A 27,209-nucleotide genomic window follows, 5' to 3' on the forward strand; every position below is an offset into this window, starting at 1 on the left:
AAAACAAAGTATTACCATGTTTAATATCTCAGTTATTATTAATAGCATTATGTATTATTAACAATATTATGTATGCTATAGTATATATAACTATAAAATATAATTCAAACTCGAAGCATGTCAATAAAAATAATCTGACCCCAGAATGAGGGTATTCCTCCTTTAATTCATTCCTCTAATCAATACATATTTGTTGAACACATTTTTGTGCAGACACTGGGCTAGGTAGAAAGGTTCAATGGTGAATTAGCCCTTTCCAGAGTGTGTGATTTAGCAGTGCAGACCAACAAGAAACAACAAGAAAGTGACAGTGGCAGAGCAGAAGGTGCAACGGTAAGACAAAGCAAGAACATCAGACACAGCAGGAGGAAGGCTCAGGGATGACTTTGCCAGAGAAGTGTGGCTAGGTTGAAATACAAAGGATAAAGAGAAGTTAGACAAGCAGAAGGGTTTTGGAAGGGAGCAGAAGACAGAATTTAGACATTGAGGGACAATCCTAGGAGGGAAACGGGGGGCAGATCTGAGAAGATTTGTGACCTATGTTAAGAAATCGGTCAAAGATGTTGAGGGCTTTTAATATGGGCAGAGACACAATCAGACAATGATCACTGTCTCCAGTGAAATTGTGTCCTGAAAGTGGATCAGACAGCACAAGACTAGAATCAGAAAGACCTGTTGGGAAGCTATGGCAATCATTCACACAGGTTGATCGGGTCAGGGTATGTATTAGTCTGTTTCACGCTGCTGATAAAGACATACCTGAGACTGGGCAATTTACAAACAAAAGAGATTTAATTGGACTTACAGTTCCATGTGGCTGGGGAAGCCTCACAATCATGGCAGAAGGCAAGGAGGAGGAAGTTCCATCTTACATGGATGGCAGCAGCCAAAGAGAGAATGAGAAATACGCAAAAGGGGAAACCGCTGATAAAACCATCAGATCTGGTGAAACTTATTCACTACCATGAGAATAGTATGGGGGAAACTGTCCTCATGATTCAGTTGTCTACCACCAGGTCCCTCCCACAACACATAGGAATTATGGGAGCTACAATTCAAGATGAGATTTGGGTGGGGACACGGAGCCAAACCATATCAGAATAGTACTCCCAGCATGAAGAGAAGTGAACAACAACAACAACAAAAAACGATTTAGGAAATAGAAAAAGAAAATAGACCTTAGTAATTGACTAGATCTGGCAATGTAGAGAAGGCAATGTCAAAAATAAGCCCTAGGTTTTAGCTCAGTTGTAGCTAGAAAGAAAACAATGAGTTCAATGAAGCATGGAGGTAAGAAAGAACTTGGTTTCAATCCCACCTTGGCCACTTATTTCAAGCTGTGTTGGAAGAGGTTGAGGGGTAGGAGAGTGAAAGTTGCCTGGCACATGTTCTATGGCTTTCATCTCCATGTGTTTGGTGATACCATCCATTGAAATAGCCAGGGGGATGCCAATTTAGAGAAGGAGATGATGAGTTTAATCTCGGACATGTTGAAATACCTATGGGACACTCAAGAGGCCACGTCTAATAGGCACTTGGATATACAGATCTCAAGCAAAAAAGAAGGGTTTTTAGCAGGTAAAATAGATTTGGAATTTAAAAAAATGTTAACTCTTCCAAAGAGATGCTGGACTCCAAAGAATATCAACATTTAAGGAGTACAGAAAGGAAATGGAGACATCAAGTGATCCACTGCTAAGGCCAATTTGTCATCAATCAACACAGTTATATACTAATTAGAGTGGTGAGACTTAATTTTTTGAGAAAAAAACAATTACTACTTTTCGATGGGAACAAAAGAGTTAGAAATATTAATAACCCTTCCTGGTAGATAGTAAACAAGGTGGAAGTAACAGCCATCATTCAACTTTGCCAAATTTGGAAGAGGAGAAACTTTGACATTAAATTTTGAAATTTGGGGAAATTAAGTAGGCACATGATGAGCTAGCTGAGGGGATAGAAATGGTCATAGTTAAGCTTCTACACAAACTGAAAGAAACTACAAAATAAAGTATTTGTTCTCCGCCTTAACCTAAGCTGAAGGTTTCAGCCCAAAACCATCAGCTGAGTTCAAAGAGGCAAAAAGGAATGTCAAGCCCAGGGAATGACCTCCACCTCACCCTTTTCTACCCTCAAGACATAACTATAGGGAAAGACTGAGGTATGAAAATGGGGACATTCCACAGCAAATGTGTATGATTGGAGGAGCAGGCTCCTGAGATAGAAAGCTTTGGGAAAATAATAAAGCAGGAAGAACCAGGGGCACCAGGTTTGTTCCATCGCAATGAAAGGGTGATGGGAACAGTGGGCTAGGATCAAACACGAAGAAAGATTACTAGAGCTCTGGAAAGTTCGTCACTGCATCTTATTTTTATTAATCTTTGCCATTTTTTTATTAGTGGCTAGCAGTAAAGTAAAGCCCTTAAGTTTCTGCTTTTTTGTTTTTTTGTTTTGTTTTTAAATCGTGGGCCTGTTTTAAGAGAAAGCAAGGAAACAGAAAACACCAAGCATGGGTCCTATTTCACGTCTGTGAGAGGAACTCTACAAAGAACGAACAACGTGGTGGAAGAAGGAGGGAAGCAGGTGACCTCTGAGCCCTGAGAAGGGATGGAAGGAGAAGCAGAGTCAGCCTGGGACAGAGAACAGGCGGGACAAGGGGATGCAAATCAGGCGACAAGAAACCTGTGCAGGATCCAGCAGTGTTAACAGCACCCGTGCTGCTCATAGGTAGAAAAGAGGAAACAGGCAGCAGGGGGAAAAAGGCGGTAAAAGCACTCTGGCAAGGATCTTCGAGGCCAAGCTCTACTAAGAATTCAAAACAGGATAGTCCTGTGAGCATATCCTACCAGACGCTGAGAAAAAGTATCTAAAAACAGAGTATGAGTGAGTGTTTAACAAACTTGGAGGGAAAATGGCATTTCATTTAAAGTTGGAAAACAGTCAAAGTTAATGAGCAAGATACTTAAACTTATTTTTATCATATAATTGCATTCTAAATTGTATACATTCAAAATAATTTTAATATCTATTTTGTAAAATGTTAATATCTATTTCATAAAATATTCATAAAATGCAATTAATTCCTCATGAAATGCGTATTTTTCCTCACATGTAATAATGAAAAGATGAAGAACAAACAGGCAGTCACCACCACGTGCCAGGCCCTGTGATCTTGGGTGATGTGGGTGAATATGTTGAATTCTCGCAACAAAACTCAGAGGGAGCATCAGCATCTTCCAAGTTGACAGACAGGCAGCCACACTGCAGCAGCTGAAATAATGAAGGTCACAGCAAAGCACCCATAAGGAAGGACATCACACAGACACCTGCCTGATCGTTCCTTTGCAGACTGCAGCAATGCCACCTCCATCTCCAGTTCACTTCTGAGTCTACAATGTGAGGATAAACAATAGGGAAATATTAGATCCCCATTATATCTTTTGTCTTTTGTCTGGGTTACACCACAAGTCTCTTACAGTTGAGAAATTAAAATAGATCTGCTTACTTTTAACACGACAGATACTCTGAAGATATTTATTAAATGACAGCCTAAATCAGTCAAGTTAAACAAAATAATACTGTCTTACCAAGATTGCATAAGCCTTTAAAGAGTTAGTTAATTTAAAATAAATGATTTCCTGTAGAATTTATTGGTATTTTTTGTTAATGCAATTGCTAAGAAGGAAGAAGGCAAAAAAAATTTAAAAAAGATAATTTAAAAAAACGTAGCATTTTACACTCAGAGGCAAACAACATGTTAAGGGCTATGGAAAGACTTTCCTGATGCTGAAATACACGGCATCTTTCCTGTGTATTATTATTCTGTGCAACAGATACGATTTACAAATTTCACTATGTTTAAATTAAAAATAAAATACAAGAGGCCGGGCATGGTGGCTCATGCCTGTAATCTCAGCACTTTGGGAGGCTGAGGCGGGCAGATCACGAGGTCAGGAAATGGAGACCATCCTGGCTAACACGGTGAAACCCCATCTCCACTGAAAATACAAAAAATTAGCTGGGTGTGGTGGTGGGTGCCTGTAGTCCCAGCTACTTGGGAGGCTGAGGCAGGAGAATGGCATGAACCCGGGAGGCAGAGGTTGCAGTGAGCCGAGATCATGCCACTGCACTCCAGCCTGGGAGACAGAGCCAGACTCCGTCTTTAAAAAAGCAAAAAAAAAAAAACAAAAAAAAAAAAAGTAAATAAATAAGTAAATAATACAAGAAACTTTAAAAAACAGAAAAAAACCTCCTTGTTTCCTCTGCTTGGTTCAGAGTAACCTACATCAGCTATCTTATGTTTTATAGATTTAAAGAGAAAACAAAAAGGAGTCTAACAGGTATTACATATTTTGAGGACAACACTGTGATTTGATTTAAAACATCCACATGCAAATAATTTAAAGCCAAATGTCTACAAAGGGCCTAACATTTTAAGAGTTTTACACATGTTAGTTCTTTTCATCACAGATTAAGAGAGAAATAGGGTGGTTATTATGACCCTCAATTTTAAGAAACTGGAGCCAGGTGTGGTGACTCATGCCTGTAATCCCAGCACTTTGAATGGCCAAAGCAGGTGGATCACTTGAACCTAGGAGTTGGAGACCAGCTTGGGCAACATGGTGAAACCCCAGCTCTACTTAAAAATAATACAAAAATTAGTCAGGTGTGGTGCCTGTGGTCCCAGCTACTTGGGAGGCTGAAGTAGGAGGATCTCTTGCACCTGAGAGGTTGAAGCTGCAGTGAGCCATGATCATGCCACTACACTCCAGCCTGGGCAACAGAGCAAGACCCTGTCTCAAAGAAAAAAATTTAAGAAACTGGGGATTCAATGGATTAATAATAATGATGAAAGTCTTTTCAATATATGTAGTAAGAAAGTTTTATTTCCAGAAAATTTTTACATATTATAGTTTTAAATATTACTTAGGTTTTTGTTCTATTGCTTTGTTTTTCTTCTTCAGGGACTTTAATTATACGTGAATTGGACATTATTTGCTTATGTTCTATTTCATCTACTTTTTCTGACTTTTGATTTCTGTATCTCATTTACATTCTTTTAAATATTTTTCTACTTTTTCCCAATGCCTATTATGTTTTCATTCAAAACTATTCTTCCTTGGGTATTTCAGAATTTAGTCTTGACCTATGATATAATTTTGACTTTTTCAACTATTTTTTCCTCGGTTTTTATCTTGTTTTATTTCTTCTTTATTGTTGTTGATTTCTCTCCTTAGTTTTTAAATTTATGACTCAAGATTGTTTTCATGTCCTGAAATGCTCTTTGGGAACATGTAATTTAGCTTGGAGTGCTGTGCTACAGTTTTCTTCTTGTTCAACTTTATTATTACTATTCCTTGGTAAGGCAGGGACTTTCATCAGGTAAATCATTTGGATTCTCATTTTCTGTTCTTTTCTCATAGTAGTTTGTATAGACAAAGATTGTTTACACCTCTGCATTTTTGCCAGCTGGACTAGTGATTTGGAGTAGTATGTGAGATTGCTAATTCAAATGGATACTTTTCCGTCAGTGTAGCAATTTATACTATTTTATTATTGATTTATTGTTTTTTTTTTTCGGTGTTGTTTTGATTTCCTTCTATAGTCCTGGATACCTTGCTTGTTTAGAGGGGAAAAGGACAGTATGTGGAAGGGTTGTGTGCACCCTGATTTTCCTTTTTATAGGTTTCTAAACTTTCCTTTCTTGCTCCCTATTGCCTTCACTGGACATTTCTAAAGGATGCTGCTCCCTTTCCCTTAACCCCCTTCTCACATGTATTATTACCATTTCAAAGTTGTCTTCTCACTTCTACCCTCTCCCAAGTAACCCCACCCCACCACACCCCCACCACCACACCCCTGCCATCATAGTCAATGCTGCCATCAGCCCAGCAGGACAGTTGTGTGGCTTTCTCACTTATGTGGATTCTCTCTCTGGAAGTGGCTTTGGAACAATTTTAGGCCTCCATCTATCTCCACTGTTCTCTCTTCCATGAACTTTTCCCAAAACCTCACTTGCTCTCACAAACAAAGCTTTGCAGCAGGAACATGGCAACTGGTTCACTGCCACTGAATGTTTTCTTTCCTATTTTCAGTCATTTTTAAACTTTGGATGCATTTGCAATGAATTCAGTTTTTTGTTGTTGTTGTTGTTGTTTTCGTTTTTTGTTTTTTTTTTTTTTTTTTTTTTTTTTTGCCTTGGCATTCACTTTGAACAGAAGTTTAATTTTCTCACTCCAGAAGCAGGGCTCAGTCACCATTGCTTGACACAGTTTCTCGTGCTTCTCCTCCTCCCAGTGCCTCAAAATGGTCAGTTCAGATATCTGCCTTAAACAACCACCTCCCAGGGATCACCCACTATGAGACAGCTAAATACAACCTACTTTCCTCAACCCACTGACCCCGCACCCTGTAGGGGCCATGAGAATATGCTGCAGTGACCCAGAAAGCACTCTCCATCACAGTGTGACCCCACAGAACTCGTGCCTTCTTGCCCTAAACCCACCGATCAGAATTCCCCATGGAAAACCCGCTTGGGTCCCGCTCTGGACCCAAACAAAAGACTTGGTCCATCGGTCCTCACTCTCTCTCTTGCTCCCCTACCTGCTGGTGGAGCGAGTGTGTTTCAGGCAGCTCCCCACTTCCTACCACCCCTGAGAGGTACGCTGCCTTCTTTTCTCTGGGATCCGTAAGTAACAAATCTGCTATTTAATGTGCTTTGTTCTGTGGCCTTCTCTGTGCCTCACCTGATGGACACACTTGAATGTCACCTTTTACCAGCCAGGGCTCCCCTAGAGACTGGCTATCTTGGTAGGAATAAACTAGATACACACCAGACAACAACCACGAGGGCTTCTGCCAGTATAGTCGGGTTTCTTGTGAGAGGAATATCTGGTCACAGGTCAGACACTTGGACATTAAGCCTGAAGGCCAGGATGAAGACACATCCCATGAAGGGTACCCTGAGAATATCCTCCACCAGCCCCCAAAGCTCCATCAGGGGAGGGCTAGAGTTCATAGCCACCCTTGTGAGAGAGACCTTAAGACCAAATTGGAGGCCAGGTGTGGTAGCTCATGCCTGTAATCCCAGCACTTTGGGAGGCCGAGATGGGTGGATCACTTGAGGTCAGGAGTTCAAGACCAGACTGGCCAACACAGTGAAACCCTGTCTCTACTAAAAATACAAAAATTAGCCGGGCGTGGTGGTACACACCTGTAATCCCAGCTACTCAGGAGGCTTGAACCCGGGAGATGGAAGTTGCAATGAACTGAGATCACCCCACTGCACTCCAGCCTGGGCGACAGAGCAAGTCTCCATTAAAAAAAAAAAAAAAAAAGAAGAACAAATTGGAACAACAAATACAACAGTTCTCTGTCTTCTGGTTACACTAGAAGCCAAATTTTGTTTTTTGGTTTTGTTTCTTGTTTCATGCTCTTGAAGATATTTTGGATGTTGCAGATTTCCTTTAATCTTTTTTCAAATCATACAAAGAGTATGCCCTATCCAATTGTTATTCGACCCCGGAAAATGATACAGAGAGGTTATATTAGAAGAGCTTTGTAAGTTAAAAAACAATAGGGGCATTCATATAAGGTGTCTTAGATCTGCAGCCCTCTCGCCTATCAGTCAGTCTTCAGGGGACCACCAGAAAAGACAGGCAATTCCTTGAGAAACCTGCCCAAACTCCCCCCATGGACACACCATACTTAGCAGAATGTCTTAGTCACATAGGTGATGGCCTGTAGAAATAGCCAGATGACAGGCATGATATTAGCAAAAGTAGCATGTTTTCAGCAACGCAGAAATCAATGTAACCGTAGGCTTGTCACAGCGGTTTCAGACCTTGTTACGGAAGAATCTAAACATAGATCAGATCCGTCCCTCATGCCTCACCTATCATTCTGCTCCAGGGCTGCTTTTGTGGCTGTCACGAGCATCCTCAGCTCTTCCCTGGCGAGATCCATGTCCGCCGTCTTCACCGGCCTCTGCCCCAGCGCCTTGAGTTGAGCCAGAAGAGCCTAGGCAGGACCAGGTACATGAGGTGAGACAAGCACACAGGGAGGGCGGGAGGACTCCCTTTCTTATTTGTCATTAATGCGTTTTCAAGGTGCCCTGGGTTAACATATAAGTTCTAGTTAAAATAGGTAAATTGGGAGGATTTAAGGGAGGGAGGGCCGTTGGGGGAGGGATGGCCCATCAGTGAAGTTCCCGGTAAAATACCTTTTTCAATATGTTAAAAGTTTATTTTTCTAAGAAATGGAAAGATGGTAGGGAATTTCCCTGTTGGCCCGTGTGGGGGGAAGGACATACTGGATAAAGTCCTGGAGGCACATTGTCAGTGGCACCGCAATCGTTTCCTCTAGGTGAATGAGAAGCCATGTGAATGTGCTTGCCATCCGCAGATGTAAAGCAGTGCTGTGCTCAAATGGGGAGCAACAGAGATCTCTGCTTCTTAGGGGATGGGTTGCCAGGGTTACAGACACAGAAAGAGGCATCCAGGGCCCTGCTGGCCTGGGAATTTTTTCATGCTCACATTTGACCGAGATAGGGACGTATGCCACTTATGACTCAATCTCAAAACGTAAGGAACAAGGTAAATTCCCCACTGGAGGCTTTGCTCATTCTTGTGAAGACAAAGGCTGCTTCTGTGTTATGAAAAGGCTCAGCACAAAGAAAATGGTACTCACATCTTATTTTACATGAAGAAGCAAACTAGAACTGATCTCCTTGCAATGCTGTGATCTTTTGCTCATGTATAAAAGAAGCAACTATCTTTCCTAATTTATGAAGTAAAATTAATCTTTAAAGTGTATTGAATTCAAAATACCAAAGTTATCTTAGCTATCTTAGCTACAGTGTTAGATTTTCTTAGGTTTTATAAGTGATAAAGTTATTCCTGCAGTATATTTTCTTATTTGACCAATCACATGTTTAACCCGACCCTGGAAGGGAACACCTGGAACGCTGTCACCCGTTAAACAAAGAGATCATGGGGTTTGAGTCAGCTTACAGCACACCAGCCATCACAATGCATTCTCAGTGATTTCGCCAGGACAATGGCTGGACAGTGGTTTTTGGAAATTACTGGAAGAGAACCATTTATATTCCCAATTTATACATAGATAGTTATGTCGCTTGTTTGGGAGTATAAATAATGCTATGCCAATCAAAAGGAAAGTTCTTTATCAATAATGTTATTAAGGCAGTATAAAACTCATCTATAACAAAGAACATATCAGCTATTCTAAATTATGGGGCACACATGGGGCTTCTTGGATTCAGAAAGGTTTCCACTGCTCATGAAATATGAAGCTATGGATAAGCAGGCTCTATTCAGGCTCTTTGTGATCGATCGTCACCTCGTACTGTGCTGCAGGCTGGGACTCCAGGAGCGTTGCCATGTAGAGTTCATATTCATCCTGTACAGAAACAAACAAAAGTCCACTGGCCATGTATGAGGAGGCCACAGTGCAGGTGTTTCACGTGTATAAATAATACGGAAGTCAAGAATGTTCATTTAGATCATTTCAGAAAAATATAAAATGTTCCCACAATGCATTAAACGGTATACATGCTCACATTGATAAAATCACACCATCTTTGAAGCATATTTGAGCATTAAGTATTGATTACCTCAGAATATCATAAAATACCATACAATAAAATATAAAATATTGAGGCAATCTCTGCCTCCCGGTTCAAGCGATTCTCCTGCCTCAGCCTCTGAGTAGCTGGGATTATAGGCATGTGCCACCACGCCCAGCTAATTTTTGTATTTTTAGAAGAGATGGGGTTTCACCATGTTGGCCAGGCTGGTCTTGAACTCCTGACCTAAAGTGATCTGCCTGCATCAGCCTCTCAAAGTGCTAGGATTACAGGCATGAGCCACAGCACCCAAAAATCACTTTCATCATGAAATTGCAACAAACCTATAATTCCATAAGGATTCAAATAACATTACACATGTAAAGTTAAATTATTAATTTATTAGAATTATAATTAAGTTATATAAAATTTATAAACGGTTATGCATAATTAGGAAGCTTTAGTGGGAAAATATGGGTTTGAGGAATGAGTTAACTGGGTGTTGATTCCACATGGCCCCTTACAATTTACGTGCCTGCAGGCAGATGACCTCGAGTCTCTGGGAGTGATGGTCCCTGTCTGTAGAAGGGGGCCTGTGATACCTAGCAGAATTTCAGTGCGGCTTGAGATCATTCTTGTACACAGAACCTCATGCAAGCTTCTCAACTGTTATGCTGAAGATGTATGTTTCTTACCTTAACTTTTTTCAAGAGATCACCAAATATCAAAGAACTGTTACAAATATCTTCAAAGACTTTTCCAAAGACGTGCAGTCTGTTGAACTGCTGGGGGCTGCACGTGCAAATTTTCTGGAGCTCCTGGAGGAAAAACAGAGTCAGCCCATTTCAGGGTGGCTTCATCTTTCTTCCAGAACCGAATTTCTCAGGAGTCAGTGAGGACACAGCTGCCATCACCCTGGCGAGTGGGCGGGGCGGCACAGGGGGCCAGTCTCGGGGGTTCTGATCCCTCCCACCAGTTGCTGAGCTTCTTTGTTTCCCTGGTCACCCAAGATGTGGGATTTTTTTAAAAAAATCTTTTCTTCTTTATTGACTCCCTTGCTCCCCGTGCTCAAGCATTCACTCTCCGCCTCCACAGTCCCCAAAGGCCCTTTCTCTCTTCCAACCCCAAGGCCTGGCTGCTTCCTGGGGGCCTGCTATTTTCTTCTCTTTCGTGCATCGTCCCCATTTGGAGGTGATGCCTCCAGTCAGCTGTTCTCCTCTGAGTCGGCAGCCTACCGTAGATCTTCTGTACACATGTGCTGCCTGGGCATACCTCAGGGCGTGACAGTGCCCATCAGCTCTCCCTCTGCCCTCACGGTTCTTCCACCGTCAGCCAGGCAAGCCCTCTCTCAGACCCCTCTGCTGACCTACGAACATCTGATTTACTGTTGCAGCCACATGGCCTCCAATGCGTCCGCTATGGGCCTCCCCCAGCTGACCAGTTCCCAGAAGGCGCCCTCCTTCATTTCACCCAAACTGTCCCCATTGAAGGTGCTAATGCTCTCGGCACCTGGTACAGTGCTGCATCCTGCCTGGACGTATCCGGGAAGCCTCAGAGGACGAGCCTCTCAGCTCACCGTCGTGGCTGTCCCTGACCCAGAGCACTGCGCCCAGAGGCTGCACCAAGAGCACTGCACCGAGAACACTGCACCGAGAGCACTGCACAGAGAGCACTGCACCCAGAGGCTGCACCAAGAGCACTGCACCGAGAACACTGCACCGAGAGCACTGCACAGAGAGCACTGCACCGCGAGGTCTGCACCGAGAACACTGCCCCAAGAGCTATGCCCCGGAGCTCTGCCCCGAGAGGTTTGCCCCAGAGCTGTGCCCTGAGAGCACTGCACCGAGAGCTATGCCCTGAGAGCTCTTCCCTGAGACCACCGCAGGGCTGCCCTCCTCACCTGCTGCAGCTTTCTCTCGTGGCCCGCGGCCGCCTTGCTCCCAGTGAAGTCATTCTTCAGGAGATCTTGCTTGGCGAGCACTTCCTTCTGGAAACGCAGGAACATCCTGTACCTGTCTGCGCTGGTGGCTCCGGCCAGGTAGGAGCTGACATAGTGGTGCCGGTCCCTGGTGCCTCTGGACCCGGCCTCCTGGTAGCACAGCACCTTCAAGTCGGGCAGCCGGAGTTCTTCCCTCCTGCGCCATCCAGGAGGGCCCCGTCCAGGAGGGCCTCCTTTCTTTTCTTCCTTCCCCTCTCTGACAGCCTCCACTGGAAGGAAATCCTCCTCTGAAGTGTGGGAAAGAGAGGCCTGGGGGTTCAGGTACCTGAACAGCGGGGTGTCCTGGGCCTCACTGGGGACCAGGGCCGTGTGGATGGTGAAGTGGGCCAGGGCCTCCTTCATCCTCGCCACCTTCCCTGCGGGCGGCTCTCCCACCTCAGAGGCGCGCTCCCCCTTGGGCCGGTGGGCATTGGGCCAGTGCTGTAAGATCGTCTCCGGAGGCTGGTAGAGCTTGTTGGGGTTCAGGTGTCCAGAGATGTAGAGGTAGACGTCCTCCCGGTGGTCTTTCTGAAGCCGATTCAGAAGTTTCTTCAGATTACACAGGGTCTTCACTCCTGGCGTCTCGCAGTGCTTCAGATTACACAGGGTCTTCACGCCTGGCGTCTCGCAGTGCTTCCACTTCAGGTACACTGGTCAGAAAAGAAAAGGAGGCTCTTAGGGATCGCTCTTAGTTCCACAGTAAGTCAGCTGGTGCACTGGCTGAGAGGCGTAGCCCCTGACCAAAAGAGGGTCTATGGAGAAACAGACGAACAGAGTACATGGCCCAGCCCTTAAAAGTCAAAGGCACCCGTGCCCGGCCCAGTGTGCTGCTGCAGATGAGAGGCGCCCAGGCCCCCAGGATGTGCAAGTCAACCCGAAAGCTCAGGACCGTCAAAGCCAATAAGAAAAAGACAGACTATCTTGATTTGGCAGAGTATTTCTTACAATACTAGCAAAGGCTCTGAAAGAAAAGTGTACAATCTTAATTATAATTCTTAATGATGATGCTTAAAGATGTCTTCTTTAACGTATTTCACCGGCCGGGGAATTCAGAAAGGGTTTGGGGGGTATTCTCACTTAATGATAAACTGTCTCAGCAGTCCCTGACTAAACCCCTCAATGACCAATGGCACACACACCTCTTCCTGCAGCATCCCTACAGAGCCAACCCCCAGGGCTTTTGAACCACAGTTGCCTCCTCTGCAACATCAGAGTCATCATCTCAATCAAAATTGTTGATTGACACCCAGGTGGAACCACTTTTGGCAAAGAGGCACATGGCCTAGAAGAGACGCTTCATAAATTCTACCCATTTTTGCTGCAGGTCTATAGTACAGGTAACACGTTACTGAACACTTCAGATAGAACAAGAGCAGCCCAGATTTGCCCCCTTCATTTGCTGTTTTCTAACCTAAGAAGGAGAGTTTCTTTCTGGGACACTGTGTACTGTGATGGCCAAAGGGCAGCAGGCCCATCCATACCCTCCTCAGAGAAACTTCCTCTGTCCATTGAGAAGCAAACCATCCTTCCCTGAGTCAACCAAGGCGGCTGAATACTGGAGCCAATATTTTCAGCAGAGGGATGCTAGAGAATCGCCGCTGTTGATCAGCTTAGTCCTTCAGAGCAACCACTTAAGACACCACATACCAGAATCTCTGGGACGCATTCAAAGCAGTGTGTAGAGGGAAATTTATAGCACTAAATGCCTACAAGAGAAAGCAGGAAAGATCCAAAATTGACACCCTAACATCACAATTAAAAGAACTAGAAAAGCAAGAGCAAACACATTCAAAAGCTAGCAGAAGGCAAGAAATAACTAAAATCAGAGCAGATCTGAAGGAAATAGAGACACAAAAAACCCTTCAAAAAATCAATGAATCCAGGAGCTGGTTTTTTGAAAGGATCAACAAAATTGATAGACCGCTAGCAAGACTAATAAAGAAAAAAAGAGAGAAGAATCAAATAGACACAATAAAAAAGGATAAAGGGGATATCACCACCGATCCCACAGAAATACAAACTACCATCAGAGAATACTACAAACACCTCTACGCAAATAAACTAGAAAATCTAGAAGAAATGGATAAATTCCTCGACACATACACTCTCCCAAGACTAAACCAGGAAGAAGTTGAATCTCTGAATAGACCAATAACAGGCTCTGAAATTGTGGCAATAATCAATAGTTTACCAACCAAAAAGAGTCCAGGACCAGATGGATTCACAGCCGAATTCTACCAGAGGTACAAGGAGGAACTGGTACCATTCCTTCTGAAACTATTCCAATCAATAGAAAAAGAGGGAATCCTCCCTAACTCATTTTATGAGGCCAGCATCATTCTGATACCAAAGCCGGGCAGAGACACAACCAAAAAAGAGAATTTTAGACCAATATCCTTGATGAACATTGATGCAAAAATCCTCAATAAAATACTGGCAAACCGAATCCAGCAGCACATCAAAAAGCTTATCCACCATGATCAAGTGGGCTTCATCCCTGGGATGCAAGGCTGGTTCAATATACGCAAATCAATAAATGTAATCCAGCATATAAACAGAGCCAAAGACAAAAACCACATGATTATCTCCATAGATGCAGAAAAAGCCTTTGACAAAATTCAACAACCCTTCATGCTAAAAACTCTCAATAAATTAGGTATTGATGGGACGTATTTCAAAATAATAAGAGCTATCTATGACAAACCCACAGCCAATATCATACTGAATGGGCAAAAACTGGAAGCATTCCCTTTGAAAACTGGCACAAGACAGGGATGCCCTCTCTCACCGCTCCTATTCAACATAGTGTTGGAAGTTCTGGCCAGGGCAATCAGGCAGGAGAAGGAAATAAAGGGTATTCAATTAGGAAAAGAGGAAGTCAAATTGTCCCTGTTTGCAGACGACATGATTGTTTATCTAGAAAACCCCATCGTCTCAGCCCAAAATCTCCTTAAGCTGATAAGCAACTTCAGCAAAGTCTCAGGATACAAAATCAATGTACAAAAATCACAAGCATTCTTATACACCAACAACAGACAAACAGAGAGCCAAATCATGAGTGAACTCCCATTCACAACTGCTTCAAAGAGAATAAAATACATAGGAATCCAACTTACAAGGGATGTGAAGGACCTCTTCAAGGAGAACTACAAACCACTGCTCAAGGAAATAAAAGAGGACACAAACAAATGGAAGAACATTCCATGCTCATGGGTAGGAAGAATCAATATCGTGAAAATGGCCATACTGCCCAAGGTAATTTACAGATTCAATGCCATCCCCATCAAGCTACCAATGACTTTCTTCACAGAATTGGAAAAAACTACTTTAAAGTTCATATGGAACCAAAAAAGAGCCCGCATCACCAAGTCAATCCTAAGCCAAAAGAACAAAGCTGGAGGCATCACACTCCCTGACTTCAAACTATACTACAAGGCTACAGTAACCAAAACAGCATGGTACTGGTACCAAAACAGAGATATAGATCAATGGAACAGAACAGAGCCCTCAGAAATAATGCCACATATCTACAACTATCTGATCTTTGACAAACCTGAGAAAAACAAGCAATGGGGAAAGGATTCCCGATTTAATAAATGGTGCTGGGAAAACTGGCTAGCCATATGTAGAAAGCTGAAACTGGATCCCTTCCTTACACCTTATACAAAAATCAATTCAAGATGGATTAAAGATTTAAACGTTAGACCTAAAACCATAAAAACCCTAGAAGAAAACCTAGGCATTACCATTCAGGACATAGGCGTGGGCAAGGACTTCATGTCCAAAACACCAAAAGCAATGGCAACAAAAGCCAAAATTGACAAATGGGATCTAATTAAACTAAAGAGCTTCTGCACAGCAAAAGAAACTACCATCAGAGTGAACAGGCAACCTACAACATGGGAGAAAATTTTCGCAACCTACTCATCTGACAAAGGGCTAATATCCAGAATCTACAATGAACTCAAACAAATTTACAAGAAAAAAACAAACAACCCCATCAAAAAGTGGGTGAAGGACATGAACAGAAACTTCTCAAAAGAAGACATTTATGCAGCCAAAAAACACATGAAGAAATGCTCATCATCACTGGCCATCAGAGAAATGCAAATCAAAACCACTATGAGATATCATCTCACACCAGTTAGAAAGGCAATCATTAAAAAGTCAGGAAATAACAGGTGCTGGAGAGGATGTGGAGAAATAGGAACACTTTTACACTGTTGGTGGGACTGTAAACTAGTTCAACCATTGTGGAAGTCAGTGTGGCGATTCCTCAGGGATCTAGAACTAGAAATACCATTTGACCCAGCCATCCCATTACTGGGTATATACCCAAAGGACTATAAATCATGCTGCTATAAAGACACATGCACACGTATGTTTATTGCGGCACTATCCACAATAGCAAAGACTTGGAACCAACCCAAATGTCCAACAATGATAGACTGGATTAAGAAAATGTGGCACATATACACCATGGAATACTATGCAGCCATAAAAAATGATGAGTTCATGTCCTTTGTAGGGACATGGATGAAATTGGAAACCATCATTCTCAGTAAACTATCGCAAGAACAAAAAACCAAACACCGCATATTCTCACTCATAGGTGGGAATTGAACAATGAGATCACATGGACACAGGAAGGGGAATATCACACTCTGGGGACTGTGGTGGGGTCGGGGGAGGGGGGAGGGATAGCATTGGGAGATATACCTAATGCTAGATGACACGTTAGTGGGTGCAGCGCACCAGCATGGCACATGTATACATATGTAACTAACCTGCACAATGTGCACATGTACCCTAAAACTTAGAGTATAATAAAAAAAAATTATAAAAAAAAAAGAATAATATTCATAGAAATGGAATTTCTAGGTGAATGCAAAAAAAAAAAAAAAAAAAAAAAAAAGAAATGATTAACAGAACAAATTCTCCAAGGCAACAATCATTGTAATTCGTCAAAGGCATGAACACTTAAAGCTCTAAAAGGCACCTTGTACCAACTCTATGGAAGATGGAAGAAGGAGGCGACTTCATTGCTGTTGTGTTATCCTTTGTTTATTTTATTTCCAAGAAGGATTTGAAGCCATCAGCAAGTCAATCAACACAATCATTTTCCCACTTCAAATGCTTTTTCTTTTGATTGTAGTAAGAGCTGCTCCAGACAGAAGTTTCCACTTCTGTCTGCCACATTCTTGTAATATATGCCATGAATCCCCATCGTGGCAATAAATATTTTAATCATTTTCCCATCTGAAAACATTGTGTGTGTCTGTGTGTGTGTGTATCCTGCCTCTCTGCCTGAGAGAGAAAACAAACAAACAAAAAAGAAAGTTTTAAGAATTTATTGGAAATTATGACTCTCTTACAAAGATTTGAAAACAAATTTGCTGTCAGTAAAACCAAACCAAGTTTTGAATGTGTACTGAATAGGAACATGTAGTAATAGGTCTTAGGCTACATTTGGGTTAATACATATTGCCAAAATTTAGTATTAAACATTTTTAAACAGAGGTTTTTTATTTGTTTGTTTCTTTGGAAATGTATCCATCCCCCCACCCCCCCCACCCCACCAACCCCAGAATAGGACAATAGGCCTTTAATGTCAAAATTATTACAACTCAGGCTGGGTGCAGTGACTCACGCCTGTAATCTCAGCACTTTGGGAGGCCGAGGCGGGTGGATCACTTGCAATCAGGAGTTCGAGACCAGTCTGGCCAACCTGGCAAAACCTTGTCTCTACAAAAAATACAGAAATTAGACAGGCATGGTGGCGGGTACCTGTAATTACTGATACTCAGAGGCGGAGGCACCAAAATTGCTTGAACCTGGGAGGTGGAGGTTGCAGTGAGTCGAGATAGCACCACTGCACTCCAGCCTGGACGACAGAGTGAGACTGCCTCAAAAAAAAAAAAAATTTTTTTTAATCACTGTCCCATGTTGTCAGATCTCTGGGAAACTGAGAATCCCATGGAAATTCTCCTTGGTCTCATTCTAGAACATTCATATTCCCTCTGCGTTTCTGCCCTCTGCCTTCTCTGCTCCTACCCTAAAGTCAGTGCACATCCTAAGAAATGTACTTCTGGAAAGACTTCCAAGAACAGAGCAGCAGGCCCAGACCCACAGGCTCTCTGCTGGAGGAGAGCGGGAGCCTCAGGACAGGCCTGGCCAGTGGGGGTCTGTCCTCGAGTCCTGGGCTCCCCTCACAGAACTCGTTGCAGAACTCACAAAGAGCGTCCATCACTCCCCTGTGTCCATCCTACCAGCCGGAGAATCTTTTCAGACTCCACTGAGATTGCAATCTGGCCTTTCCTGAACCCACGGATAAACATCTGTTGCCCCACGCTGCACTGTGTGCTTCAGGGGTGGGATGAATGTGAGCCCCCAGGAACCTGGAAATCCCACAGGGAGTGAGATGCAGACCCAGGGCCACAGGGGACCTGAGCCCAAGGGAGAAGCACATGCCTCACATGGACTCTGTCTCAGGGTGAAATGTGGAAGCAGAATGATGGGACCCAGAGCTGGCCACCCTGACGCCAGAGGTCAGGGAAAGGGGACTTTACCAGCTGAATTCAGGTGATGGGCCTTAAAATAAAGTGATTAGTCTGGATGGTCAGGGCTCTAATCTAATCACGTGAGCCCCTAAAAGCAGAGAAGTTTCTCTGGCAAGAGTCAGAAGGGAGAGGTGGAAGAAAGGGGGTCAGGGAAGTTGCAAGGAAAGGAAGCTTCCAGACTCGCTGGATCCCAGGTGGAAGCCACAGGCCAGACAGGAGGCGACTTCCTAGGGCCAGGGCCCCTGCTGACAACCCACAATTCCCCCACCACAAGCGACAGGGTCATGCCAACAAGTCCACTGGGCCTGGAAGGGGTTCTTCCCCAGATCCCCTAGAAAGCAGCAAAACTGACCTTACCCTCGAGTCCAGCCTGGTGACAGCCTGAAGCTCTTTGTATACAAAGAAGAGAAAAGACAACTCCCCAAGGACTGAAAGACCCCTTTTTAAAATGACTCCCACTGTCTATTCCACAGCCGGTGTGCGGCATGCTGATTCAATCCCCACAACAGCCCAGGAGGTAGGCGCCGTCCCATCCTCCTTTACAGGAGGGGAAACTGAGGTTCAGGTGGTCAGATGGTCAGCTGCCTCCAAGACCACGCTCTCAACCTGCCCACTCACCTGTACATGAAGAGCACTAAATGCATTCTGATATCACACAATAAAATTTCTTTTAAATCATTTTCTTGTTGAGACTGCTTTGCTCAGTCTAACAAGTTTTCTCTCTGCCCAAATTTCGTCTGAATCAGTCGGTAGTCCTGTTTCAGTCCCAGCACATGGCGGGTGGTGGGAAAAAGCGAAGGCTTCGAAGTCAAAAGACCTGGGCTTACCTCCCCACAGACTCCCATGCGTAAAATCACATTAATAGCACCAGCCTTCAGGGTCACAGAGACAAAATAAAGGACTTCTGACTTGATGAATGTGGACGCGCTGAGCTTTGTGGTCATTTATAGGAGCGCGGAAAGGCAGCATGCCAGGGAATGCTCTGAAGTGCGGCTTTTTAAAATCACCCTCTGAACAGCCTGCAACCTGCCGCTTCGTCCCTCCTCCTCCTCCTCCTCTTCAGGCTTCCGGAGACTCCAACACACGGCGCGTCCGTCCGCGCAGGTCCACACTCGCTGGCTCCCACGCCCACATGGCGCGCACCCCCCACCTCTGTGCTTTGCGCGCTGGTTTCAGATTCTCTGAGGAGGCAGCACAACCCCAATCCAGTCCTCAGCCCTAGTGACCCTGGAGCCGGCGTGCAGCCACCAGAAAAAGATTTTCACATTTCAAATCAGTCTTCAGAAGCCCATCCCTCCACAATTGAACATCAAGCAAATCTCACAAGCCAGCAAGAGCCGCTCCAGGCCACTTACATTCAGGCTCCCGCTCCTCCGCCATCGCTTCCTTCCCTCCAGCTGCCTGGGCTGGGCTGTCGCCGTGGAAACCACAAACATTCTAAGCCCTCCTTGGCTTCCTTCACTGCTGAGCAACCAGGCACAGCCCCTGCTGCGGAACCTCCCCCCAACTCCTCCCCTCTTCTGTGCCTTCTGGAACAGAGAGTATTGGTGATTGCTTGCTTGTTTTACTTTTTTTTTTTTTGGTTAATAATTTTTTTAATTTTAATACAGCCGGTGCTCTTTGTCTGGGTTCCACATCCACAGATTCAACGAAGCACAGATTTAAAATATTTGGAAAAAAGTTTTAAATTAAAAATAACAATACAGCAATAAAAATACAAATAAAACTATAGTATAACAATTACTTAGATAGCGTTTACGTTGTCTTAAGTATTACAAGTAATCTAGAGATGATGTAAGGCATATGGAAGGATGCGTATAGGTTATATGGAAATACTGCATCATTTTATATAAGGGACTACAGTATCTTTGGGTCTGAGCATCCGTGGTGGTCCTGGAACCAGTCCCATCCCCCATACAATACTGTAAATAAAACATTTGTTTTTAAAGGTACATCAGCTTTATGAAATAAGTGAAACACTTTCCGTGATCTGAAAAATATCAAAGTATCCTCGCATTCCCTAATCCTTTCCAAAGCCCAGGGGGCAAAAGATAACTGGTCTTCAGGCATCTGCTATAGAAATGTGCAGGTTGGACAGTGCGTAACCCACCCAACTGCACCTGGAGGTCCAGCACAGAGTAGGTGCCAGTCACGAAGTGATCATTTAGTCACTTTTTATTATTATCTATGTATTTTCTAATGGGGAACTGAGATCCTGTGGGGTAATTTGCCCAAGGTCAGTTAGCAGACAGTGGAATTTACAGATGTGTAAGTGCGCACCTGTATGACTGCAAAGTCCATCCTCTCTCCTCAGGCGATCCCATGTGCCAAGGGAGGGAAAAGCTAAAACCTCTATCTTTGAAAACTGTAATTCTGTTTATATGTCTTGCAGCCAGAAAGAGAGTACTGGAAGGGCGATTCTGCTGGTTCTTAGAAGTAACTTTGACGCCAACCCTTACTACTTACAGCTCTGAAATGAGAAAGACGGTGATGTAGGCGTTACTGGTTGTGAGGATGGAATTACACGGTACTGTGAATGAGGGGGGCACACAGTGTTTTTTGTTTCTTTGTTTCTGTTGATGCTGCCTGTTAGTTCAAACTGCACCATTTTGTAATCCCAGCCCCATTTCGCAGACCCTGGTCAAAGTGAAATATTCCACGGGGGTCGGACCACGAGAAATGTCCTGCCCAACCACCTGACTTTCTTGTTATCCCCTGCCCGGCAAAGCCCCAGCTGAAGGAACATCCTCATCATATCCTCTGCTGGGCAAAGATCCAAGGAACATTCTATCACATGCCCCCCAAAACAGGAACATTCTATCACATCCCCCCAAAAACAGGGCCAAACCACCTTGTCATGGAACATCTTATCAACATCTTCTGGGAAGCAGGCTATACCCCCTAGTCCCCTCCCGCCCAGGCCTATAATTGCCCCAGCCTATAAGCGGCGGTCAGCACTGGCATTAACCTGGTCCCCCATCTCTGCAGGTCTTAGGCTGGACATAGAACCCGAATCGCTGGAGAGCTGCCAGTTATCTCTCTTTAACCCTTGCCTTCCCTTCCAAACATAACACTGGACAGATACTTGAAACGTGAACATTCTGGAAACCAAGAAGCTGCCAGGACCTTCACCTGCTCAGGTGGCTTCATCACCAGGTGCATTGGAATTCCACCTGTGAAAAGGTTACCGGAGTGTTTACTGCTTGTCTCTCTGGAACGTGCATGGTAGTTAGGCATCTTAACTATGACAGAAAGGTCGACATGAAGATGCCCAAGCTGCGTAAGGATGTCTAGGTATGGGCACCAGAGAGGAAATGCTGTGTGCCCCTCGCCTGCAGTTCGTTATAAAGTAGGCTCACATGGGCAGCGGAGAGGAAACACTGTGTGCCCCTCACCTGCAGCTCATTATGAAGTAGGCTCACATGGGCAGCAGGCCAGGTTTTTAGATAACCAACAATTAGAGATGAGGAAATGAACCTCTATGCTCAGAAATCCTTAGTAAACTAGTCAATCTCATAACTTCTAAAATAGTCCATCGCTTCCACACTGCGCAGTCAGGCAGAGAGGTGACAATAGGTGTTCTCCACTTTTCTTTCACAGATGGGCAGGAGGGACAAAGGGCCCCTCTGCCGGCCTTGGGAGGGATAGTGATGAGGAGTGCATCCCACCACGAGAGCTGCTCAGTTCTGGGGTTCAGCCTGTGCTACCCTCACTCCTGCTCCCTAGCGTAGACATTATGTGGAATTGCAGAGTATTGGTTTTGATCAAAAGAAAATAATTTGTTTTTAGGGCCTCAGTTTCTCCCAAGTCATCCCTTATGGCAGAACACAAATGCAGTTAAATTAATTCATCCACCCCTTACTTATATGCTATCAAGATCAGAAAGTCAATGATCAAATCAATATCAGGCCTTAAAAGCCCATCTGTGGCTCTCCTATTGCTAAATATTTCATCAAAGCATTTGAGGCAGAAACATACTTAACGACAACATTATCAGCATAATGAATTGATGTGCCAGAAACACACTGGATCTTCCTTGAGGCCAGACTTCTATGTAGAAATAGCCAAGAACTACTCAGCAGGCAAATTGCGTCTGCACATATTTCAGTGACTATGGCTGCTGTTTTGCTTATCCACTCCAGATAGCGCTTGAACACATCCTAAAACACTTGGCCACTGAATGCAACCCAAGGGTGAGGCCATTCTACCATCCCAACTAATCCACGCATCCACCCGTCCTTTCATCCTACCCCTCATTCCAGAAAAAAAATTAAAAATTAAAAATCTTTGTCTACTATTGTTTCTTTGCTAGGACTGCAGAAATGCACAATGAATCCCCTACTTTAAAAATGCTCGGTGAAGAGGAGACCACTGGGGAGTAAAATGCAGTGTGATGTGAGCAGCAGTGGAGATGGGCGTGGACCGGCAGAGGAAGGAGTGAAGGATTCACATCTCATAGGCTGCGGAGGCTTCCAGAAATACCACCTGTTCCAGGTGTGCAGGATGGGCGAGCGGGAGTTCCTTGTCAATCATGGGGGAGGGTCGGGGAGCATCAGTCAGAAGAACTGATGGGTTCCAAAAGGGAAGAGGTCACAAATAAGTGATTCCAGTTACTGCTTTTCAGCTATTAGACTCTGCTGTGCAAAAATGAACCGACTTGCAATAACTTAAAACATCTTTGTGCTTCCTAAGCTCTGGAGAAACTGAATAATGCTTTTAAGAAATTTTAGATAGAATGCAAAGCAAATGCTGGCCTGGCAGGAGGATGTGGGGTTGGGGGTGGGATGAGAATTCTTGGATGGGGCAGGGGCAGAGTCCGGAGGGAGTTTCAGTTTGGTCCTGAAGATGGCTGAAGAGTCATCAAGAGTCACTGAAAAATGTTTTACAGAGTGGGGTATCATCACTTCTTTCTAGAGAAATGACTGTTGCTATACTTCATAGAGAATGAAGGGAACAGGGCTAAGAGCCAAGAATGACATCTCCAGTTCTAGGCACGTAAGCAATGGTGGCTGGCAGTGACACTCCAAATTCTCCACCCTCCTCTTGATGTGTCAGGGAAAAGCCTCTCACCCATCCAAGGCCAAAGTGCTTTGCTCCTGGGCTCTCTTGCCCTCTTGCTTTTTCAAGGGCCCCGGTTCATTGGTCTGTTTTTCCATCTGTCTCTCTTTTCCTCTCCTCTCCTCTCTCTCACTCTCGCCATCTCTCTCTTGCATCATTCATCTTTGCTTTTCTATAGGAACATTTCTATCAGAAAATTAACATGTTCATTTTTCTCATCTCAAAAACACATATAAACAAGACCTTTGCATTGACTCTACACCTCTCTAAGGCAGGTATTCCATACAACAGATCCAGGTCAGAGTCTGTCACAAGGAAGCTGTTGGCCAGCCTGCCAAGGAGGAGGAAACACGAAGCTCTCGGTCCACCTGCGTTCTCTGTGAGGGAGCCTCCTACGGCACTGTTATCTGTGGCACAGGTGGGCTATTTCCACTTATCCCAAAGCTTCTCCTGTGGAGCCTGGATTTTGCCCTAAAAGTAATTTTCTGCAATATAGCTTCATTTTTGGGTGGTATTTGAGGGCAAAATAACTATAAGACTCTGGAAGTTTGAAAAATCGATGAAGAAATGGTGCAGTCAGAACGCACCTCTTGAAGGGCTTCCTAACATCCCTTCCCCACGCCCCAACTCCCCAGCAAGTCTCTTTCCTCCTTTGGAAAGTAAAACAAACTTCATTCAATGACATTTGTGCATAAAAACTGCATTTCTTTATTTTCAAACTGTTGTTTATCACTCATCTACACCTGTTTCCAAAAGCTCCATTATTTTTTCAACTGTGAAAATGATTTGGGCATCTTGGGTCAAGACAGGAGACATCATGATTCCCCCATTAAGTGAGAGGTATGTGGGCCATGAAAATCCCCCCAGCACACCCCATAGCCTCTGGTCACTCCCTTCAGAGACCACCCATCTGACCAGCTGCTTATACGACTTCCCACAGGCAGCCCGTGTAGACAAGAAAATTCACTCACACCATCTCTCCGTCCTCTCTCTTCCACCATGACAGCGGGCCACTCCCACTTCCTCCACCTTGCTTTTTTCTCTTGGAAATCATTCCGGACTAGTGCATAAAGAGCACCTGACTTTTTACATGTCTGGGCAGTGTTCCATTGTATGGCTCTACTGTGATTTATTCCAGCCACAGACCACTGATGGACATATAGGCTCTTTCCATTCTTCTGCTATTAAATCCCACTGCTGGTCCTCCAGTCACTTCCTGTGTGTGTGAATCTGTAGGTAAACACAGAACTTGAGCACCTGGGGTGGAGTCGCCAAGTTTGTGCCCATGGGATGTTGAGAAAGAGCATCAAATTGTTCTCAGAAGGGTTATTACAGTTTGCTCAATCCCAGCAGTAATGAGAGTGCCTGCTTCTCCACCTCTTCATTACCAGATGGCATTTTCAAACACAAAGTCACCACACTGTCTGATCTTTGCCAATACAAGGTTGCCAACAAGATGTCAAGAGAGAAGGAAAATCTACAATGAAACTGTGAAGGAAAAAAAAAACCCTAAGATGTTATAAAAGTACATTGTAACTGCAGTGGTGAGTCTTAAACTATTTTACATAAGATGACCAGGGAAGGCCTCTATTTGTTTCTTGTGGCTGCCATTATAAATAACCATAGACTTAGCAGCTTGAAAGAAACAATGAATTTACTTTCTCACATTGCTGGAAGTCCAAAGTCTGAAATGGCTCTCACTGGCTAAAATCCAGGTGTGGGCAGTGGGCAGGGCTGCTTCCTCCTGGAGGCTACTGAGGAGAGTCCCCTTCCTTGCCTTTTTCAGCATCTAGAGGCCACCTGGTTCCTGGCTCCTGGGCCCTTCCTCCATCTGCAAAGCCGGCGAGGCTGGGAGAGTCTTTCTCACATCCCAGACACCCTCCTGCCTCTCTGTTCTCTCCTTTTTTTTTTTGTGATGGAGTCTCACTCTGTCACCCAGGCTGGAGTACAGTGGCACCATCTTGGCTTGCTGCAACCTCCGCCTCCCAGGTTGAAGCAGTTCTCCTGCCTCAGGCTCCCAAGTAGCTGGGATTACAGGCACCCACCGGCATACCTGGCTAATTTTTGTATTTTTAATAGAGACAGGGTTTCGCCATGTTGGCCAGGCTGGTCTCGAACTCCTGACCTTGGGGAATCCGCCCGCCTCAGCCTCCCAAAGTGCTGGGATTACAGGCGTGAACCACCGTACTTGGCCTGTTCTCTATAAAAGGAGCCCTGTGATGGCACTGCTCCAGCCTAGATAGTGCAGGCTCGTCTTCCTATTTTAAGCCCAGCTGATCAGCAGCCCTGATCCCCCCTGCAGCCCCATATCTTCTCTGCCCAGTGAGCTCACATCTTCACCAGTTCTGGGGATTAGAGTGTGGCGCTCTTTGACTGCAACCTTCCAGAGGAGGTGACAAAGAGCCAGAGGAAGAGAATTCTTGGCATCAAGCTAGAGAATGTGGTGCAGACCTGACCCCCCTTTTCCAAAACTCCTGTGTGGCCTGACACTGGAGGTAGAACATTGGCTAGGGATGGGGGAGATGGTTCAAATCGTTGTCTGTTTTTTGTTGTTTGTGTTTCATTGGTCGATTTGTTTATGATTAGAGAGATTGGAGGGATCCCATGTTGAGGGAATGGGGCCAGTGGAGTGAAAAATGTTGAAAGTCTGGGAAATAGGCGACATTTGATTTCATGACTTGGTATGTGTCTAAAAGGTGTGTCTGGGCTCGGTGGATTGGCTCACGCCTGTAATCCCAGTATTTTGGGAGGCCAAGGCAGGCGGATCACTTGAACTCAGGAGTTCAAAACCAGTCAGGGCAACATGGCAAAACCCCTACCAAAAGTACAAAAAAATTGGCCAGGTGTGGTGGTGTGTGCCTGTGGTTCCCAACTACTTGGGAGGCTAAGGCAGGAAGATTGCTTGAGCCTGGGAGGTGGAGATTGCAGTGAGCCGAGATCACACCACTTCACTCCAGCCTGGGTGACAGAGCAAGACCTTGTCTCAATAAATAAATAAATAAATAAATACATATATACATACATAAATACATACATATACAAGTAAATTTAAAACTAAAGAAATAGATAAAAGGTGTGTGTGACCTGCTCCAAGGGAATCTTGCCATAGACAAGGGGGAAAGAAATTCACTGTTGCTGGGGAAGGCAAAAGCAAACCAGAGGTGGAGTAGTCCAGTTCCCCAGATGCTTTCCGTCATCCTGATGTTAATGTAGTTCTTAGGAAAGCACACCTAAAAGCGAGGCCCATGTGGCTCCCGGGGGATGATGTCCAGGCACTGCACGTGGGGCACGTGGCCCTCTCCAGCCTGGATTTGCAGAAATCAGAGGCCCTCATACTATGCCCTTTGAATTTCCGCAGGGAGTGGAATTGACCGAGTGCAAACGCAGGGTGACCTCTGCAAGCTCGCAGCGCCAACGCGGGAACCCCAGCATGGTCTGGCTGCAGAGTCTGTCTGATTGTCCAATCAAACCCGCATCTGTGGGGAAACAAGACATGATTCCTACCAACTGTTTTTCAAAATATTTGGAGTTGCTGATTATTTACTGTTTCTGGTCCTTGTTTCATATTGCTGATATATTCATTGGTAACAAATGGTTGCTCACATTTCTAAAAATGAAATAATGGGAGGCCTAGTGGTTCCTGAATACAAGGGCTAGAAAGGAATGAATGGCGCCTCCCCGGGAGCTGTCCGCTCCTTCCCACTTCCACAAGCGTTTCCATTGAGGCTGAGGGTTGTTCCCCGCCCTTGAGAGTGGAGACCTTCCCCTTCCAGGGTAGATGGGTGGCCAAGGCTTGTCTTTCCCCCAGGGATTTTCCCAGCAGTACGGCAGACAGAAGGATTTTCTGTGTGTAGAACCTAGAGTGGGGGAACATCGCTACTTAGTTAAAAAAAAGCCTGAAGTTGTCCAAATAAGAACAAACATGGTTGACTTTTTAAATTCTTAAGGTTAGGAAATGTGAGCTGTCAGGGGGAAGACCTGAAGTCCTGGTTACTGGCCACCCTCTGGGCTGGCGGGGGAGGGATGG

The 27,209-nt window shown here is 44.6% G+C and overlaps 1 protein-coding gene and 1 long non-coding RNA gene across 12 annotated transcripts in view, besides 4 other annotated features; one reads left to right on the plus strand and one right to left on the minus strand.

Moving 5' to 3' along the window:
* C6orf118 (chromosome 6 open reading frame 118) overlaps nucleotides 1–19,523 on the minus strand; it is a 29,942-nt gene extending 10,419 nt beyond the window's left edge. For 3 of the 9 annotated variants that reach the window (NM_144980.4, XM_005266838.3, XM_047418256.1), the window contains exons 1-6: nucleotides 19,480–19,523; nucleotides 11,487–12,214; nucleotides 10,282–10,404; nucleotides 9,361–9,420; nucleotides 7,895–8,019; nucleotides 3,331–3,389 (exon numbers count right to left, since the gene is read on the minus strand). In NM_144980.4, the coding sequence (NP_659417.2) occupies nucleotides 3,331–3,389; nucleotides 7,895–8,019; nucleotides 9,361–9,420; nucleotides 10,282–10,404; nucleotides 11,487–12,214; nucleotides 19,480–19,504 (1,120 nt within the window). In that variant the 5' untranslated portion in view covers nucleotides 19,505–19,523. Of the gene's footprint in view, nucleotides 1–3,109; nucleotides 3,390–7,894; nucleotides 8,020–9,360; nucleotides 9,421–10,281; nucleotides 10,405–11,486; nucleotides 12,215–17,351; nucleotides 17,462–18,481; nucleotides 18,730–19,479 lie in introns of those variants that run through there. The other 6 variants (XM_011535511.4, XM_011535509.2, XM_017010323.1 and 3 more) reach the window with 4 other exon arrangements.
* Nucleotides 4,615–4,785: a silencer, noted in NCBI's record as "fragment chr6:165708186-165708356 (GRCh37/hg19 assembly coordinates)". NCBI's record gives its function as "represses an EF-1alpha promoter that drives an FKBP-Casp9 reporter gene in an ReSE screen in K562 erythroleukemia cells {active_cell/tissue: K562}" and the evidence as "EXISTENCE:reporter gene assay evidence [ECO:0000049][PMID:32094911]".
* Nucleotides 7,834–9,033: an enhancer, noted in NCBI's record as "BRD4-independent group 4 enhancer chr6:165711405-165712604 (GRCh37/hg19 assembly coordinates)". NCBI's record gives its function as "activates an origin of replication core promoter dependent on BRD2, P300/CBP, MED14 and CDK7 cofactors, and independent of BRD4, by STARR-seq in HCT116 cells {active_cell/tissue: HCT116}" and the evidence as "EXISTENCE:reporter gene assay evidence [ECO:0000049][PMID:35650434]".
* Nucleotides 11,136–11,636: an enhancer, noted in NCBI's record as "H3K4me1 hESC enhancer chr6:165714707-165715207 (GRCh37/hg19 assembly coordinates)". NCBI's record gives its function as "activates a minimal SCP1, AML or CMV promoter by ChIP-STARR-seq in naive H9 embryonic stem cells {active_cell/tissue: H9 hESC(naive)}" and the evidence as "EXISTENCE:reporter gene assay evidence [ECO:0000049][PMID:30033119]".
* Nucleotides 19,242–19,741: an enhancer, noted in NCBI's record as "H3K4me1 hESC enhancer chr6:165722813-165723312 (GRCh37/hg19 assembly coordinates)". NCBI's record gives its function as "activates a minimal SCP1, AML or CMV promoter by ChIP-STARR-seq in naive H9 embryonic stem cells {active_cell/tissue: H9 hESC(naive)}" and the evidence as "EXISTENCE:reporter gene assay evidence [ECO:0000049][PMID:30033119]".
* On the plus strand, nucleotides 19,581–26,646 carry LOC105378113 (uncharacterized). 3 transcript variants are annotated; one of them, XR_943231.3, is made up of 6 exons: nucleotides 19,581–19,671; nucleotides 20,517–20,651; nucleotides 22,437–22,618; nucleotides 23,454–23,600; nucleotides 24,574–24,726; nucleotides 26,541–26,646. It is a non-coding gene; the product is annotated as an uncharacterized LOC105378113 (long non-coding RNA). The 3 variants fall into 3 exon arrangements; XR_943230.3 differs by having other exon boundaries at nucleotides 23,458–23,600; XR_943232.1 differs by lacking the exons at nucleotides 19,581–19,671; nucleotides 20,517–20,651 and adding an exon at nucleotides 21,356–21,418 and having other exon boundaries at nucleotides 23,458–23,600.
* Nucleotides 26,647–27,209: the final 563 nt, after the last annotated feature.

Source organism: Homo sapiens, chromosome 6, assembly GCF_000001405.40.
Source record: "Homo sapiens chromosome 6, GRCh38.p14 Primary Assembly".
Classification (NCBI taxonomy): Eukaryota; Metazoa; Chordata; class Mammalia; order Primates; family Hominidae; genus Homo; species Homo sapiens.